Below are 19,877 nucleotides of genomic sequence, written 5' to 3' on the forward strand. Positions count from 1 at the left end.
AGGCAGGAAAATCACTTGACCTCGGAGGCGGAGGTTGCAGTGAGCCGAGATCGCACCACTGTACTCCAGCCTGGATGACAGAGCACGACTCTGTCTCAAAAAAAAAAAAAAAAAAAAAAAAAAGAATCTGTTACATTTTCAAGCAGAAGTTAGAGAAAACAGAGCCAGTACTTCCCCATTCAAAAATAAGACTGTTTCTCATTTCCAGCTACTCCACACACCAAAAGGTTCTCACAGTTAGACATGGTATCAGTAAAAGATCAAATCCAGGGAACTGCCAGTAAAACTGTGGCCTCAGTGTCAAGATCTAAGGATGAGACTGTAAGACCCTTCATTAACACCTCAGAAAGGTTTGTCTACCTCTCAATTGAGGTGCCTGGACATGATTTTTTTTTTTTTTTTTTTTTTTTGATACAGAGTTTTGCTCTGCCATCCAGGCTAGAGTGCAGTGGCATGATCTCGGCTCACGGCAACCTCCGCCTCCCAGGTTCAAGGGATTCTCCTGCCTCAGCCTCCCAAGTAGCTGGGATTACAGATGCGCACCACCACGCCCGGCTAATATTTGTATTTTTAGAAGAGTAGGGGTTTCACCATGTTGGCCAGGCTGGTCTCGAACTCCTGACCTCAGGTGATCCACCTGCCTCAGTCTCCCAAAGTGCTGGGATAACAGGCATTTGAGCCACTGCACCCAGCCATGGACATGATTCTTGATGATGAGTTCCAAGACTTCAAGCCTGAGCCTAATGCCATAATGGGTTGAGACATCAGGGGTCTTGGAAGGAAGGTGTTCAATGGTTTTTACATATGAAAGAGGGAACCAGAGGATGGACTGTAGTAGTTTTCAATTACAGCCCCAATGAACCATGACTCCCAGTATTCTTGCCCTTGTATAGTCCCTCCTAAATTAAATCCTACACTGTATCACTTTAATAAATTAAACAGAAAAACACTGTGCTAGTTGTAGGATTAAGTCTTAAGAAGAACTCCTAGCTTCTATATTTGCATTTTGGGAGGCACAGAGAGTGAAGGAAGCCCAGCTATTCCAGCCCATCCAAGCATCCAGATGGCTAACCCCAGTCACAATCTTACTACAACTGTAGGAGAGACCTTAGGCAAGGCTGAAGAATAACTACTTAGGTAATCCACAGAATCATGAAAGATAATAGAAAATGGTTTTAAATCACTACGTTTGGGGATAGTCTGTCATGCAACAATAGATGGCCAAAACAACGGGGATAGGCTACTCTGAATGTGCAGCATGGGGCACATGCCCACTTCTATGGCAAAGATATACAGCATAATGAATTTTTACATAGGTATATGCCCTGGTAACCACCACCAAGGGTATGACACATTTCCAACTCAAAAACCTACACGGTGTCACTTTGTTGCCTAGGGTGGTCTTGAACTCCTGGGCTCAAGTGATCCTCCCCCATCAGCCTTCCCAAAGTGTTGGGATTACAGGCATCGGCCACCACACCAGGCCTGTTCTCACTTCTTTCACTCAACATATTGTCTGGGAGATACATCTTTGTTGTTTTATCAGTAGTCCATCCTTTTTATTGCTGTATAAATATACCACAATTCTGCTGGTGGCATTTAGATTACTTTGTATTTGGGGCTTTAATGAGTAAAGCTGTTATGAGCCCTGTGATGGTTAATTTTATGTGTCAGGTTGACTAGGTGAATGGATGCCCAGAAAGCTGGTAAAACATTATTTCTAGGTGTGTCTGTGAGGGTGTTTTCCAAACAGATTAACATTTGAATCAGTTGACTGAGTAGAGAAGATCACCCTCACCTAATCTGATGATAGCACGAATAAAACAAAAAGGCAGAGGAAGGGCAAATTCCCTTTCTTCTTAAGCTGGGACATTCATCTTCTCTGGCCTTCAGTGAGACATCAGTGCTCCTGGATCTCTGGCCTTTAGACTCCAGGACTTAATACCAGGCATCCTCCTCCCCCTGGTTCTAGGGCTCCAGCCTTGGACTGAATTACACCACTGGATTTCCTAGTTCTCCAGCTGGCAGACAGCATATTATGAAACTTCTTGGTCTCCATAATCAATCATGTGAGCCAATTCCCATAATAAATCTTCTCTTATATATCTATATATATTCTATTGCTCTCTTTCTCCGGAGAGCCTTTGTGTGTATATGTATTCATTATTCCTGGATGAGTTCCTAAGAGTGGAATTGCTGGATTATAAGAATAGATGTATGTTAGTCTGGGTGCAGTGGTACACGCCTGTAATCCCAGCACTTTGAGAGGCCAAGGTGGGCAGATACTTGAGCTCAGAAGTTTGAGACCAGCCTGGGCAATATGACGAAACCCCATCTCTGCAAAAAATATAAAGGAAAAATTGGCCAGGCATGGGGGCATGTGCCAGTCATCTCAGCTACTCCGGAGGCTGAGGTGGGGGTATTGTTTGAGAGCTTGAGCCCTGGAGGTTGAGGCTGCAGTGAGCTGAGATCACTTAACTGCACTGCACTCCAGCCTGAGTGACAGAGTGAGACCCTGTCTCCAAAAAAAAAAAAAAAAAAAAAAAAAAAATTGATGTAGTATTAATTGCATTTCCTTGATAAGCAATGATTTTAAACACATTTTCATATGTTTATTGGCCATTTGGATATCCTCTTTTACAAAAGATCTGTTCAAGTCTTATGCATATTTTTATTTTATTTTATTTTTATTTATTTATTTAGAGATGGAGTCTTGCTCTGTTGCCCAGGCTGGAGTGCAGTGGCACAATCTCAGCTCACTGCAACCTCCGCCTCCTGGGTTCAAGCAATTTTCCTGCCTCAGCCTCCCAAGTAGCTGGGATTACAGGCGCCTGCCACCACACCCGGCTAATTTTTGTATTTTTAGTAGAGATGAGGTTTCACCATGTTGGCCAGGCTGGTCTCAAACTCCTGACCTCGTGATCCATCTGCCTCAGACTCCCAAAGTGCTGGGATTACAGGCGTGAGCCACCGCGCCCGGCTGCATATTTTTTATTTAAAAAATTTATTGTGGTAAAATACATATAACAAAAGTTACCACTTTACTATTTTAAAGTATGTAACTGTATTTATGCCTATTTTTAATTAAGTTATCTCTTTTTTCTTGTTTTTTTTAGCCATTTAAAAATATATACATATATTCAGGATATAAAATCTTTGTTGAATATATACACACCCACACACACAGAGAATGCAAATCTCTTCAGTCAGTGTGTACTCTATTGTCTTAATGCTGTCTTTGATGAAAATTAGTTCATAATTAACAAAGCCCAAATTAGCAGTATTTTCTGATTAGTGATATTTGTATCCTGTTTAAGAAGTCAGCCACCCCGAGGACATGAAGACATTCTCCTGTGTTTTCTTCTAGAAGTTTATTGTTTTCCTGTCACATTTAGGTCTGATTTACCTTCCTTTTTATTGGCGGGTAATAAGTGTTTGCAACTGAGTTGTTCTATCAGTGCATTTCCTGCCTGTAAAATTTTGGGGGTCTGACAACCTTTTTCATTTTGTCTCGTCTTTGCCCCTTTTGGTTTAAGCTGGTAGTGTTGCTTCAGGTATAAAATTCTCAAAATCTTTGTGGGATTCTCACATATGTCAAGGGAATCCATGTCATTAAGACAGGAGTGTTCTCTCAAAATTCTTTCTGGATAACCTTATCTCTGTTCCTGGCTTCTGCTTAGATGATTGATTGGATCCATGAGTTACATACCTAACCTTCCCAGCAAAAGTTTGTCTCTGCTCTGGGTAATCCCCAGAGCAAGCTATATCACTTTTTGTAATAGCCTGAGAATTTTCCAAATCATCAAAGCTCTGGTTGCTTTTAACCTAACAGCTCCTTACTCACTTTATCTCTTTCCTCTCATATTCTACTCTAAAAAGCAAGGAGAAACCAGATAACAAATCCTACACTTTACTTGGAAATTTCCTCAGCTAAATATCCAAGTTCATTGCTTAAAAGTTCTATTTTCCACCTCACAGTAGAATATAATTCAGCCAAGTTTTCTGCCACTTTATAACAAGGATAGCCTTCCCTCCAGTTTCTAATAACGTGTCCCCCATTTCCTTCTGAAACTTCACTGAAGGCACCTTTAACATTCATGTTTCTAGCAAATTCTGTTCATGATGATATACATATTCTCTAAGATAACAGCAGCTTTGTCTTTCATTTTCCTCATTTCCTTCTGAGCTCTCACAAAACCTAGGCTTTTCCCTATCATGGACCTTAAAATTCTTCCAGCCTTTGCTCATTACCCAGTTCCAAAGCCACTTCCACCATTAAGTATTTGTTACATCAGCACCTTACTTCCTGGCACCAAACTCTGTATAAGTTTCCTAGGACTGCCATAATAAATTACCATAAGGTGAGTGATTTAAAGCAACAGAAATTAATTCTCTCATAGTTGTGAAGGACAAGTATGAAATTGATGTGTTGGCAGGGCTACACTCCCTCTGATGGCTCTAGGGGAGAATCCTTCCTTGACTCATTCAGTTTCTGTGGCTCCTGGCATTCTTTTTTTAAAATTAAATTAAATTTAAATTTTACTTTTTCTGCCAACACCTTGATTTTAACTTATTTATTTATTGCCCCTGACATTCTTTTTTTTTTTTTTTTTTTTTTTTTTTTTTTTTTTTTTTTTTTTTTTTTTTTTTTTTGAGACAGAGTCTCACTCTGTCACCCAGGCTGGAGTGCAGTGGTAGGATCTCTGCTCACGGTAACCTCTGCTTTCTGGGTTCAAGCAATTCTCCTGTCTCAGCCTCCCGAGTAGCTGGGATTACAGGCACCTGCCACCACACCCGGCTAACTTTTGTATTTTTAGTAGAGACAGGGTTTCACCATGTTGGTCAGGCTGGTTTGGAACTCCTGACCTCAAATGATCCGCCTTCCTCAGCCTCCCAAAGTGCTGAGATTACAGGCGTGAGCCACTGTGTCTGCTTGGCCCCTGACATTCTTTAACTTGTGGAAGCATAACTCAAATCTCTGCCTTCATCTTCATATAGCCTTCTCTGTGTCTCAAATCTCTTTCTCCGTTCTTTTTTTTTTTTTTTTTTTTTTTTGAGATGGAGTCTCAATCTGTCACCCAGGCTGGAGTGCAGTGGCGCGATCTCCGCTCACTGCAAGCTCCGCCTCCCGGGTTCATGCCATTCTCCTGCCTCAGCCCCCGAGTAGCTGGGACTACAGGCGCCCGCCACAACGCCCAGCTAATTTTTTGTATTTTTTAGTAGAGATGGGGTTTCACCATGTTAGCCAGGATGGTCTAGATCTCCTGACCTCGTGATCCGCCCGCCTCGGCCTCCCAAAGTGCTGGGATTACAGGCGTGAGCCACTGCGCCCAGCCCTCTCCTTTCTCTTATAAGGACGCCAATCACTGGATTTAGGACCCATTCTAAATTCAAAATGATCTCATTTCAGGATCCTTAATTGCAACTACAAAGACCTTACTAACAAAAATGTCCACTGTATTAGTTTGCTAGGTGTGTCATAACAAAATGCCACAACTGAGTGGCTGAAATAACAGTTCTGGAGGCTGGAAGTCAAATCAAGATGTCAGCAGGATTGGTTTCTTTTAAGGACTAAGAGGAAGACTCTGCTAGGCCTATCCTCTATCTTCTGGTGTTTGCTCTGTTATATGTATATGTAATATGTATTTTACCACAATAAAAATTTTTTTAAATAAAACATATGTAGCCGGGTGCAGTGGCTCACGCCTGTAATCCCAGCACTTTGGGAGGCTGAGGCGGGTGGATCACGAGGTCAGAAGTTTGAGACCAGCCTGGCCAACATGGTGAAACCTCATCTCTACTAAAAATACCAAAATTAGCCGGGTGTGGTGGCGGGCACCTGTAATCCCAGCTACTTGGGAGGCTGAGGCAGGAAAACTGCTTGAACCCGGGAGGCGGAGGTTGCAGTGAGCTGAGATTGTGCCAGTGCACTCCAGCCTGGGCAACAGAGTAACACCAATCTTTGGTGTTCCTTGGCTTGTAGAAGTGTCATTCTGACCTCAACTTTCATGTTTATGTGGCATTCATCCTGTATGCATGCATCTGTGTCTAAATTCCCCCTTTTCATTTTTATTTTTTTAATTATTTATTTAGAGACAGAGTCTCACTCTGTCACCCAGGCTGGAGTGCAGTGGCATGATCTCAGCTCGCTGCAACCTCCGCGTCTCAGGTTCAAGCGATTCTCATGCTTCAGCCTCCTAAGTAGCTGGGACTACAGGCACAAACCATGATGCCTGGCTAATTTTTGTATTTTTTAGTAGAGACGGGATTTTGCCATGTTGGCCAGGCTGGTTTCAAACTCCTGACCTCAGGTGATCCACCCCCCTCGGCCTCCCAAAGTGTTGGGATTACAGGCATGAGCTGCCATGCCCGACCAAAGTTACCCCTTTTTATAAGGACATCAGTCATATTGGATTAGGGCCCACCCTGATTACTTCATCTTAACTAATTGCATCTTTAATGACCCAATTTCCAAATTAGGTCATATTCTAAGGTGCTAGCTGTTAGAACGTCAATATAAGAGTTCTTAGGGACACAGTTCAACCCATAACAGTTACATTCCTAGGAACCAGGAGTTAGGACATAGACATATCTTTCAGGGTGGTGGTGGGGAGACACAATTCTGCCCACTACAGCGTTTGTTTTTGCTTTTCAATATTTTAAATATTTCACTCCCCTCTCTTTTTGGTTGCACATGGCTGGTACCATTCCAGAAGGGAAGTTTATTTATTATATACAATGGATGCCTTAGCCATTTTACCCTTAATATTTCAATGTGTATTTCATAGAATAAGGATATTTTCTTACATAACTGCAAAAACAATAATATTCAGGGAATTCAACATTAATAAAATATTTTGTCTAATCTACCATCAATAGTCTAGTTTCCTCAATTGTCCCAATAATTTTTTTTCCCTTGAAAAGAATTCTGCTCTAGATCATATATTCATTTAGTTGTCATGTATCTTTTTAGTGTCTCTTTCAATCTAAAACAAGTCCTTAGCCTTTCTTGGCTTTCATGACATTGACATTTTTAAAAGAATACTGGCCAGTTGTTTTTTAATACTGTATGTCTGATTTTGGCTTTGTCTGATATTTACTCATGATTAAATTCAGGTTATACATTTCTAGTCAGAATACTACACAGTGTTATCCTCCCTCACAGGTGACAGTAGTTTTGATCACTCAGGCAAAGTATTGTTTGTTTCTGTATATATAGTTACTATATGCCCCCTGGCAACTGGCAGGAGGCACTTTAAGACAGCAGTCCCCAACTTTTTTGGCAACAGGGACCAGTTTCATGTAAAGCAATTTTTCCACAGACAGGAGATTGGGGGTGTAGGAGATGGGGAGATGGTTTCAGGATGAAACTGTTCCACTTCAAATCATCAGGCTTTAGATTCTCATAAGGAGCACACAACCTACATACCTCAGATGCACAGTTCACAATAGGGTTTGAGTTCCCGTGAGTTCCCGCCACTGATCTGACAGGAGGCAGAGCTCAGGCGGTAATGCTCGCTCAGCTGCTGCTCACCTCCTGCTGTGTGACCTATTTCTAACATGCCACGGACCAGTACTGGTCTGTGACCAGGGGACTGGGGACCCCTGCTTTAAGATCATGCAAATCTTGTTCCTCATCAAACCTCTCCTCAATCCTGACCCCAGAGTTATACCCATTAATGATTCTTGTCCAATCAATCTTTACTATGATGATTGCAAAATGATTCTCTAATTTGACTGTTTATTCCACATTTATTAATCAGCATCCTAGCATATGGAAAAGTTTTCCTTTTCACCAATTTATCTATCATCAGTATGGACTCATGAGTTCCTATTTTTTCAATGGTTCAATATTGTCCTTATTTATTTTGATGCCAAATAGTCCTAGATTTGGCCACTAGGGGCCTCTTCAAGCTAGCTTCTGTGTTCTTTCAACATGTCTTTATCATTTTTTTAAACACTTCCTTGCTTTCTGTTAACATTACGATGTTCCAGGATAATCATACCTTTTCTTCCCCAGCCCTGGAGACCAGCCATTTCTCCAGAAATCCCCGATTCCTTTTAGTAGGAAATGGTATTAGAAAACAAAATATGAGTTCCAGACATACTGATTACTTATCAGGATAAGTCTGAGTCTACATCTGTGCTGTCCAGTTTGGTAGCAATTACCCATGTGTGGCTACTTAAATTAAAATAAAAACAAAATAAATTAAATATTCAGGATGGGCACAGTAGCTCACACCTGTAATCCCAGCACTTTGGGAGGCTAAGGCAGGAGGATCACTTGAGCCCAGGAGTTCAAGACCAGCCTGGGCAACATAGCGAGATGTCTAAAAAAAAAAATGGAAAAGAAAAAAAAAACTCAGTTCCTCAATTACATAAGCCATGTTTCATGTGCTCAATAGCTACATGTGTCTAGGAGCTACCATATTGGACAGTATAGATTTATAGAGCATTTGAATCATTACAGAAAGTTCTATGGTTCTCAAGACTTTCCATAAAGAAAAAAAAGAAAGTTCTATGGGATATGGAATATCACTATTCTAGACCACTGCAGTAGGCAAATCTAGGAAACACACAAACACACACACACACACACACACACACACACACAGTTCCAATTCTCTATTGCCTTTTAAATATTTTCCTATGTTCCACTTCGTTAATTCTTTAACACATTAAACAATTATTTACTGAGCACATTCTATCAGACAGGTACTCTTCAAGGCCCTGCAGATCTGGAAATAAAAAGATACAGCCCCTATTCTCTGAAAACATAACACACTTTTTTCTGAAAAGTCAGAAAAGAAATGATTATAAAATAGTATAATAAATTCCAGCTCAGCAAGGTTAAAACAGGGTGCTATAACAATATATATACCATTCTGGGCATGTCAAGGAAGGCTTCCTGAGAGAAATGACATTTAAATTAAGTTTAGAAAGGTAAATAATTATTGGGGTGACAATATGGGAGATAAGCTGAGGGTAACAGAATTTGCTATTCTCCATCACTTTTTTCATCTTTGTTCCAATTATTCACTTAAAATCCTTTCTTTCTCTTCACCATAACCTTCAAAACTCTGCTTGTCTTTCAAAACCCATCTTTTCTATATATTTCCTAATACCTCTAACCTTATAAACCCTGAAATATACTGTCTTTACTGACTTCTGGCTCACAAAAGGTTTGGTTTATTTTTGTTGCTATAAATGTTTATAAAAAGAACATGGGCTTTGGAATCAGATTTACTGCCTCAGCCTCCCTAGTGGATGGGATTACAGGCACCGCCACCACGCTGGGCAAATTTTTGTATTTTTCACGCTGGGCTAATTTTTGTATTTTTAGTAGAGATGGGGTTTCGCCATGTTGGCCAGGCCAGTCTCGAACTCTTGACCTCAAGTGATCCCTCTGCCTTGGCCTCCCAAAGTACTGGGATTACAGGAATAAGCCACCGTGCCGGGCAGGAAAAGTCTTTCAATGAAAGCTAATTTGTCAGAATCCACATTCCTATTTATAACTGGACCCTGATAAAAGAGCTTAAAATTGTTTCCTAATAAAACAAAGCATCTTTATTTTAATAAACATATTTAAATAGATAACGTAATGATAATCAGAAACAATATTAAATAGTAGTATCAATAATTTCTTTCCTTTGATATATTAAGAAATCTAACGTTAATTGTCAGGGGGAAGCATATCCAGCAAGAACTAGAGATAACTTATTTTGCTTTTCATCACAGCTGGTTTAGAAGTACACTAAAGGAAGTATACCCATTATTTTGTTCACACATGAAAAATATGTTTTACAAAATGAATGTTTCTAATGAAGTATACTTAATTTGTAAAAATTGTAAGCATGAGCATCTAAAACTGTATTGCTTATGTTCTAGAAGAAGGAAAAGGAGCACTCAACAAGATTAATAAATATCAAACCTAAAAAGGAAAGCAACGTTACTTCTTCCAAAATAACTGACAGCTGTGCAGATTTTCTTCTTCTGAGCAAACATTTATGGACAAATATGTAGTACATTTGTGTTACCCTCTTATCTTTGACAGTACATTTTAAAAATCATCTTGACATTTCATTTTCTCTCAAATTAGTTTAGGCATAATAGATCTTTAAAAAAACTGGGGATGTGAGAAGTTTCAGAGTACACTGCTTGCAATGTTTAAAAAATTACTAAAGCCCACTTTAGTATTATTAATATCTACTATATCATTTTTAAACTATATTTGTAAGTTTTCTACATGTAATTATTCAAAATAAGTGTTATGCTAAATAACAATCTACATCTTCTCATGCATGAAATATGCTGATGGTGAATCTTTGATCATGTTTTCTTCCCAAAGGCAGCCTTACCTGTGGAGTCCAATAAAAAGTAGGGCTCAATCTGTACAGTTTTCGTTTGTGGAAACTCTGAAGTGGCCTTGTTCGGGCTGATGTACTCATGAAAGTCAAGGATGAAGATTTCAGTCTTGTCCTGTCTTTTCTCTTTTTCTTACTGTGCTTCTGGTTAAGTAACCAGCTACTGGAGGAAGACAGCTCATCTAAATTCTCTGATGCACTGAAATGCCATGAAATAATTAGGGCGTGGGAAGGGAATAAAACAAAACAAAACAAACAAAAAAGACAAAGAAAACTAAATGTAAATTGCCTTGATCTATTATGACAGAAAAGTATTAATTTTAACCAATTTTGTGGTAACAATTGGTAAAATATTTTGTATTAACGGGAAATTACATATTCAAGTTGTGAAAACCATCTTTACATCTATTTTCTCCTGCAAAACAAATATACCATAAGTTAGAAAATGCTCATGAGTTTACTAGTGTAATGTAATTGCTCATTGTAAAACAATAATTCATGTCAATTACAGTATTTTAACTATTTACACAAAATTCTTTTTGTGTATGATGAAAATACATAGATTACAGGTTTTTAAAAGAACTAAAGTCATCACTCCATTATTAGTTTCTGTTTTTTTTGTTTTTTGTTTTTTGTTTTTTTGAGATGGAGTCTCACTCAGCTGCCCAGGCTGGAGTGCAGTGGTGCGATCTCGGTTCACTGCAACCATCGTCTCCTGGTTTCAAGTGATTCTCCTGTCTCAGCTTCCCAAGTATCTAAGATTATAGGCACCTGCCATCATGCCTGCTACCTGCTAGTTTTCATATTTTAGTAGAGATGGGGTTTCACCATGTTGGCCAGGCTGGTCTTGAACTCCTGACCTCAGGTGATCCGCCCATCTTGGCCTCCCAAAGTGCTGGGATTACAGGCATGAGCCACTGCACCTGGCTATTAGTTGCTCTTATATAAGCACTACATATTAATAACATTTCAGTGAATTTTGAAACAGAGCTGTAACCCTACTACATTTTAGCATTTTTTAAAAATTTCCAATGTTACAGAAACAACAACTATAAAATAATGAAATAGATCACCTAAGCTACACATGAAAAGAGCATAATTTTATATTTATTCTTTATATTATTTTTTAAAAATTATATTTAAATATTTCAAATATTTTACAATATCAGAACATCAGGAGGATGATAACCCTCGTTGCCACATAAATTTAACTTCATTTATACTATCATATTATATATACAATAATTAAGCTTTTCAGGCCCTACAAGGTACCAATTTTAACCTTAGTTATGTAGACAAAAGCTAGTCAATTTAGTATTCTAATATTAACAAATGAATCTGCTATTATGTGATACTGCTGTTCAATATATAAGTTCTAAATATGCTATTTGGTTCAAGTAGAATTGGTGTTTACCAGTAAATATAAAATATGGTTTTTCTATAGCAGTATTGTTTTTGAATCATATTTATGGCTACTATAAAATATTATATTAGCTTGTGGATAAAGTAAATAATTCAAGAATGCTTTACATAGTAATAAGAAACCAGAAATAAAGGTGTCTGAATGGCTTGTGTTGGTAAAACTAAATAAAATAATTAAATATGGCATTTGGTGACTATCATACATTCAACAAATACGTAATTGATTATGCACTACTGGCCAGACCAATATAGAAAAAAGGAGTTGATGACAACTACCTCACTTTTAAAATATTAAGTCTCCAGAGAGCTCTAGCAAGAATGCTTTAAGTCTCGGTAAATAAAAGGTTCTAAAAATCTTTCATCATGTTGATGGCTAGGAAAGATTTAGGGTATAATGCTTCTCTCAAATTAACAGGTCCAATCTCACAGCTAGATTTTATTTTCTGTCATATCAAGGGGGAGCAGAAGGCATACAGGAGAGCCAATATGAAGTTAGGCACTGAACAGGCTAAGTGGCTAGCATAGAAGTGAGTCGAGGTCAAGAAGAAGACAGGTTTCAGTAGGTAGCTGGCATTAGAGGCAGTTAAGTCAGGAGATGTAGGATCCAGGAAGTTAGGAGTAGATCCAGCACCAAAAGAGGTTCTTTGTCCAGCAAGTCAGAAGCACATTTAGGCAGAACTTACACTGGCTCTTAAAAGACATTGCTCAAGGATGTGTCTAGGGAAAATTAAAAGCTTATTCCAGAGCCTGAGACCTACTTAACTAACTTTTACCACTATTTACAACTCCAGTTGTTAATGAGATGTTAGCTTTCCCCTCCCCATGGAAGGCTTAGCCCAAAGAAGATGAGCCCTCATCTTATGAAATGAAAGGACACAACTTCTGAACTGGCTAGAGGCTCATAGGCTGGCTTAAAGATAATTGGAAAGCTTATCTTTGTGTCACTAAATGTTATACAGTCATGTGTCACTTAACAATGGGGATACCTTCTGAGAAATGCATCGTTAGGTTATTTTTTATTTGTGTGAACACCATTGAGTGTACTTACACAAACCTAGATGGTAAAGCCTATTACACACCTAGGCTATATGGTATAGCCTCTTGCTCCTAGGCTACAAACCTGTAAAACATGTTACCATACTGAATGCTGTAGGCAACTGTAACATGATAGACATGGTAAGTATTAGTGTATCTAAACATAGAAAAAGTAATGCATTGCTCTACAACATTATCATAGTTACAATGTCACTAGATAATAGAAATTTTTCAGCTTCATTATAATCTTATGGGACCACTGTTGTATATGTGGTCCTTCGTTGACTAGAAACATCATTATGTGGTGCATTACAGTATACAATTTTTAAATTTCTAAGGGGGCTAACATATTACCAGAGGAAAAAAAGTTCAGTTTTATTTCTTTTCTTATGTTCCCATCTGCAGGCAAATTATCCTTAGATTCTAACACTTTCTAATTAATAAGAATTCTTGCAAAGTATCATCAACATCTATCCTCAAATAAATGAATACATGGAAATTTAAAGATGTGAGATATGTTTATTTCACTACTAATCAATGTGCAAACTGCATATTCTCATCAAAGCTAATGTAGTACAAAATCATTTCCATAAATAATGGATGAAGGTTATTGTAAATGGTTATTGTAAACCACTGATAAATTCACTTATTTCACACATTAACAATAATGAGACGGCCCAATCAATTAACCTCATTGAAAGCAAAACATGAGGAAAATCCTGAGAAAATTTTGAGGAAGACAACACAAGCCTGATCCTGTGCCTCTGTAATCTAATGCTTTTTCCCCAGGAGATGATGATTCAGGTAATTAAGTATTGACTAAAATAGGAACCTAATGATATCTGTAAGACAAGGATATCATTAATAAATCAATATAAGAAACCATCATCACACGACATTCTTTTAAAAAAAAATAAGGTTTATCTCTTTTTAAAAATCTTTCTTTCTTTTTTACAGACAGGGTTTCCTTCTGTTGCCCAGGCTGGAAGGCAGTAGAACAATTGTAGCTCACTGCAGCCTCAAACTCCTGGGCTCAAGGGATCCTCCTGCCTCAGCTTTCTGAGTAACTAGGACTACAGGTGTGCACCACAACTCCTGCCTAGATGACAGTCCTTAAAAAATTTTTTTAAAGTCATAATAAGAAGAGGAGAAGGTCCAGAAGAAAAAGAATATTTCAATAAATGATAAAGCTTAGTGTTCCCACTGAGATTAAAGTGTATCTATGAAACCCTAGAAACTGAGGATGCAACAGGCCACCATCAAATATTGTTGTAGAATAATTATCAAAATATAATTATCGGCTGGGCGCAGTGGCTCACACCTGTAATTCCAGCACTTTGGGAGGCCAAGGCGGGAGGATCACTTGAGGTCAGGAGTTCGAGACCAGCCTGGCCAACATAATTAAACCCCATCTCTACTAAAAATACAAAAATTAGCTGGCCCTGGTGGCCCATACCTATAATCCTAGCTACTCTGGAGGCTGAGGCAGGAGAATCGCTTGAACCTGGGAGGCAGAGGTTGCAGTGAGCTGAGATTGAGCCCCTGTAGCCTGGGCAACAGAGTGAGACTCTGTCTCAAAAAAAAAAAATATGTATGTGTATATATATATATATATATATATATATATATATATATATATATATATATATATGTATGTGTGTATATATATATATATATGTATGTGTGTATATATATATATATATATATATATGGTTATCATTGTACTTCTAAAAAAGCAAGCTTACAAGTGGGAGAGAACCAGCTGAAGCAATACATTCCTTTTTTTTTTTTTTAGATTTCTAACTGGAAGCTGGAGAATAATAAAAATCTTCCAAATGATGTAGTTTAGATCCTTTGGGTTGCAGGCATATAACATAACTTGTTCTGAAAAGGAATTAAATAATTGAGGATGGGGAAGTAGTGAGAGTGGGTTTCAGGCTTATACCTTTCTATATTTCCCTGGCCTCCTCCCTAATCCAAGCTATCTTGTACCAGGGTTACTCAATAGCCTTGAAAGTGGTCTCCCTCATCCACATTTTCCCCTCTAGTCCCTTCTATACCAATTATTTGGAAAGAACAATCTGATCCTGTCATACCTGCCCTGCCACCCTACAACACACACACACGCGTGCACACACACACACACACACACACACACACTGCTTAAAATCTTCCAACATCCTCCCATTGCTCTTGAAAGACTTAAATCCTTAATCTTTTAAAAGGCCCTGATAGGTCTGGCCTCTTCCATAGTTCTCTTGCCTCATCTTGCATGATGCTTTCCCTTGTCTCATCTTGCATGATGCTTTCCCTTGTTCTCTGTGTTCTGAGAAAGAAAACAAATTTTTAATCTGAGAAATTCAAGTCCCTTTAAATTACCAGGCCCAGAGAAGCATTAAAATGTGACATGGCATGCCTATAGTTCTGGCTACTCAGCAGGCTGAGGCAGGAGGATCTCTTGAGCCTAGGAGTCTGAATCCAGCCTGGGCAACAAAGCGAGACCTTTTCTACAAAAATAAAAAATAAACAAACAAAAATGTGACAGCAGTCATGTCTTGCTCCCCGCTTGAGCTAAATACCTAACTCTTGAAGCCACTTGCTATGTGGGCTGTAGACTAACTGACACCAAGTAGCCAAAACATACCATACACTAGACACCTTAACAAACTATAGTTCAACAACATATAGCCAATTAGTAATCAATGTTACTTTTGTAAACCAGTAAGAATTCATGTCAAACATAAATTTGTATCAGCCCCTTTTGTGGTCTTAGACAAAGTCCCTTGTCCCTTTTTGCCTTATCTGCTTGTGGCTGGGCATGGTGGCTCATGCCTGTAATCCCAGCACTTTGGGAGGCTGAAGCAGGTGGATCACTTGGGGCCAGGAGTTTGAGACCAGCCTGGCCAACATGGTGAAACCCTGTCTGTACCAAAAATACAAAAATCAGCCAGGCGTGGTGGTGCATGCCTGTAGTCCCAGCTACTTGGGAGCCTGAGGCATGAGAATCGCGTGAACCAGGGAGGTGAAGGTTGCAGTGAGCCAAGACTGTGCCACTGCACTCCAGCCTGGGCAACAGGGTAAGACTGTGTCTCAGAAAAACAAAACAAACAAACAAAAAAACACCTGCTTGTAACAAGGCCAAATGGAGCACTTCCCAATGTTTCCCAGGCTGCAGTCCTCAACCTTGACCCAAATAAAGTCTCTATATTAATTCTGCCTCATTTTCTTTCCTTAGGTTGACATTTCCAACCATACTGCTTCCTTTCTTTATAAATAATTCACACTTCATACTGTATAAGATCTACATGTTATTTTTGCTTCCTAGAATCTTCACACATCCTCTTCACTACATAATTTCCAATAATCATCTAACTCTCAGATCCAAAGTCAGTTCCTTGGGGAAGTTTTCTAGCTCCTGCATGATCTCCCTCCAAAGACTAGGTCAAATTCCCTGAGCTCTGAAAGGTGAGCACTCACTGTTCACCTCTCCTTCCTAGCATTTTCATAGTGATAATTTTATATTTATTTGCATGATTATCTGATTAATCTGTCTTCCTTTCTAGACTGTCAGTAGTGCAGAGACTGTGTCTATTTTGTTTATCCTTGCATCAGAAATTCCTGATATTATGCCTTACATATAGCAGATACACCATGATTATTTGTTGAGGGAATGGAGAAATACTGTACATACACATATGTTGTCAGGTTTATCATTCCAGCCCTGGGTTTAGTACAGCATATGCATAACACACACTACACCTAAATAATTAGTTTGGTGAATAAGTAAATGTTAAACATTTTAGTCTAAGAGCCAAAGAAGCTCTATTAAATAGAAGGCTACAAGACAACTTTAAAAAAAGATATATATTTCCACTGCCTTGAAGTTTCCTTCTAAATCTGACTCTTTGGTTTACAAAGTTAGGGTTTTTTGTTTTTCAGAGAGAATCTCATTCTGTCTCCCAGGCTGGAGTGCATCTGGTATGAACACAGCTCACAGCAGTGTCAACCTTCTTGGCTCAAGTGATGCTCCTGCCTCAGGCCTCTGAGTAGCTGGGACTACAGGTGCATGCCACCATGCCTGGCTAATTTTTTATGTTCCATACAGACAGAGTCTCGTCAAATTTCTTGGATGGTTTGGAACTCCTGGGCTCAAGCGATCCTTCCGTCTCAGCCTCCCAAAGTGCATATTCCATTTTGATGAAATACTGTAATGCTGATAATTTGTAAGGATGCATTTACCATCCAATCAGAAAGATTACAACATGATAGATGACTGCTTTGGAAAATGCTGCTACTTAATGATATGTGATAAAAATGCTTTTAGACATTTGGAATCTAAGACATGTACTAAACTACATTCAGCACTCGATGTCAAGCACAGGAAAAGAAAATTCAAAGATCTTCAGCATAGGAGTGTGAAAGATCCATATCCTTAAGATATCCTCAAAAGCCAGGAATTACTCATAGTAAGAAGGTCATAATTAAAAATTTCCCTTGTATACCAGGACAATGATTAACTGAAGAGCTATACTTTATGGAAAAATAGACGAATACCAGCACATGCTAAACTAATGGCCTCCATCTTTTCATATTACCACTTCATGGTGCATATGTCCTGCCCTTTGCTTCAAAATACACTATGGAGCCAAGGAAACTAAGTTCAAGGAATAGCAGCAAATAGGGACTTATTCAACATACAATTTAAAACTATTGTTTTAAGTCAGTGGTTTCTAACATTTCCCCCACATTCACACCATTCTCAAATTAAACTACTTAAGTAAAAGTAGAAATAAACTCTGAAGAAAATTAGAATGTGCATTCTCACAGAGATTATGATAGTTTCCTAGGTGTCCCCCTCCACCCATAAAACTATACACAAATGCCCACACCCACTAAACTGGGTTGAATAGTGTCTCCTCAAAGCTCATGTCTACCCAGAACCTCAGAATGTAACATTATTTGGAAATACTTGGCAAATGTGATTAGTTAAGATGAGGACACACTGGATGAGGATGAGCCCTAAATCAAATCAGTGATTTCCTTACAAGAAGAGACACACAAAGAATGCCATGTAAAGATAGAGGCAGAGTTTGGAGTGATGTGTGTATGTCTTACAAGGAAAGTCAAGGAACTGCAGGCAACCACCAGAAGCTAGGAAGAGGCAAAGAAGGATTCCCTAGAACCTTCACAGGAAGTATGATCTTGACACCTTAATTTTGAACTTCTAGCCTCCAGAACTGTGTAATAAGAAACACCTGTTATTTTAAGCCACAAAATTAGTGGCTTAAAATACAGCGGCCCTAGGAAACTAATATATCCATAAACATATGCACCTAAGAATCATAGTTATTGCATGACTTGTAATCTCTATTTCAAGTTTCTCCTTTTCCAGTTGGAAGTCCTTTGATGAATTCAACCTATTGTAACTAAGGTAGGCAGCAACCTTTTCCATACTTTCCCTACTACACAAAGTCCTGCCAATATCTGAATTTATTACCTCCTTTATCCTTGATAGTACTGGGAGATACGAATGCATCACATATTCAGATAACCCAATGGCATTTAGGATGGCAGTAATCAAATTTGGGTGGATCACGAGGTTAGGAGATCGAGACCATCCTGGCTAACACGGTGAAACCCCGTCTCTACTAAACATACAAAAAAATTAGCCGGGCGAGGTGGTGGGCATCTGTAGTCCCAGCTACTTGGGAGGCTGAGGCAGGAAAATGGCATGAACCCGGGAGGCAGAGCTTGCAGTGAGCCGAGATCATGCCACTGCACTCCAGCCCTGGGCGACAGAGTGAGACTCCATCTCAAAAAAAAAAAAAAAAAAAAGTAAGAAACTAATAAAAAATAAGACTTAAACTTAATAGGAGGATTATTTATCCTCCAATTGGCAAAAGTAAATACCTCTCTCAAATGATCAAATAGATCAAGATCTGGCATTGCCTGGTATAGAGAAAACAGTTCCTAGACCATTTCCCTTACTCTGGGTAATAAGTAGAGAAACTACATCTCTTACTCAAAAATGGAAGTCTCTTCAACTCTAACAATAAGAAAATGTGTTGTAGTACACTGTAAAATGACATTCTTTAAAAATAAGATGTAGTATCTAAAAAAATTAAGGCTGGGCGCAGTGGCTCATGCCTGTAATCCCAGCACTTTGGGAGGCCGACACAAGCAGATTGCCTGAGGTCAGGAGTTCGAGACCAGCCTGGCCAGCATGGTGAAACCCCGTCTCTACTAAAAATACAAAAATTTGCCAGGTGTGATGGCGGGCACCTGTAATCCTAGCTGTTCAGGAGGCTGAAGCAGGAAAATCGCTTGAACCCAGGAAATGGAGGTTGCAGTGAGCCGAGATCGCACCACTGCACTCCAGTCTGGGCAACAAGAGCGAGACTCCGTCTTAGAAAGAAAAATTAAGATCCATCTTACTGTAGGTACTGAAGTGGGAAATAACTATTTTAAGTATAAAAAGCTTCAGATATAATATTAACTGAAAAAGATATAAAATTACTTCTAATAGATCTAAACTATGAAAAGACTATATTAAAAAGATGGCAAGAAAATATACTCTGAGCAATATAGTGATTTCTTTTTTTTTTCTCTCTCTTTTTTGAGACACAGTCTCACTTTGTCGCCAGGCTGGAGTGCATTGGCACGATCTCGGCTCACTGCAACCTCCGGCTCCCAGGATCAAGCAATTCTCCTGCCTCAGCCTCCCAAGTAGCTGGGACTACAGGTATGTGCCACCACGCCGAGGTAATTTTTGTTTTTAGTAGAGATGGGGTTTCACCATGTTGGCCAGGATGGTCTCGATCTCTTGACCTCATGATCCACCCGCCTCGGCCTCCCAAAGTGCTGGGATTACAGGCATAAGCCACCATGCCCAGCCTTTTTTTTTCTCTTTTATTAGGATGTCTAATACATTTTGAAATGGCTATTGAAAATAAAAGAGACTTAGGAGACATAATAACCAAATGTAATTTATGGACTTCGGATACAGGTTTTAACAAATTAATCATAAAAAGATAATTTTGAGACAAGCAGAAATTT

General features: G+C 39.0%; 1 protein-coding gene across 14 annotated transcripts in view; it reads right to left on the reverse strand.

The window, feature by feature from the left end:
* Positions 1–19,877, reverse strand: part of KANSL1L (KAT8 regulatory NSL complex subunit 1 like) — a 151,340-nt gene that overhangs the window by 43,773 nt on the left and 87,690 nt on the right. For 10 of the 14 annotated variants that reach the window (XM_047443489.1, NM_001307976.2, NM_152519.4 and 7 more), the window contains one exon: positions 10,359–10,563. The exons of 1 other annotated variant lie outside the window; for it this stretch is intronic. In XM_047443489.1, coding sequence (XP_047299445.1) covers positions 10,359–10,563 — 205 coding nt within the window. Of the gene's footprint in view, positions 1–8,006; positions 8,059–10,358; positions 10,564–14,566; positions 18,652–19,877 lie in introns of those variants that run through there. 3 more of the 14 variants (XM_017003431.2, XM_047443490.1, XM_047443494.1) reach the window with 3 other exon arrangements.

Source organism: Homo sapiens, chromosome 2 (genome assembly GCF_000001405.40).
Source record: "Homo sapiens chromosome 2, GRCh38.p14 Primary Assembly".
In the NCBI taxonomy this organism is placed as follows: Eukaryota; Metazoa; Chordata; class Mammalia; order Primates; family Hominidae; genus Homo; species Homo sapiens.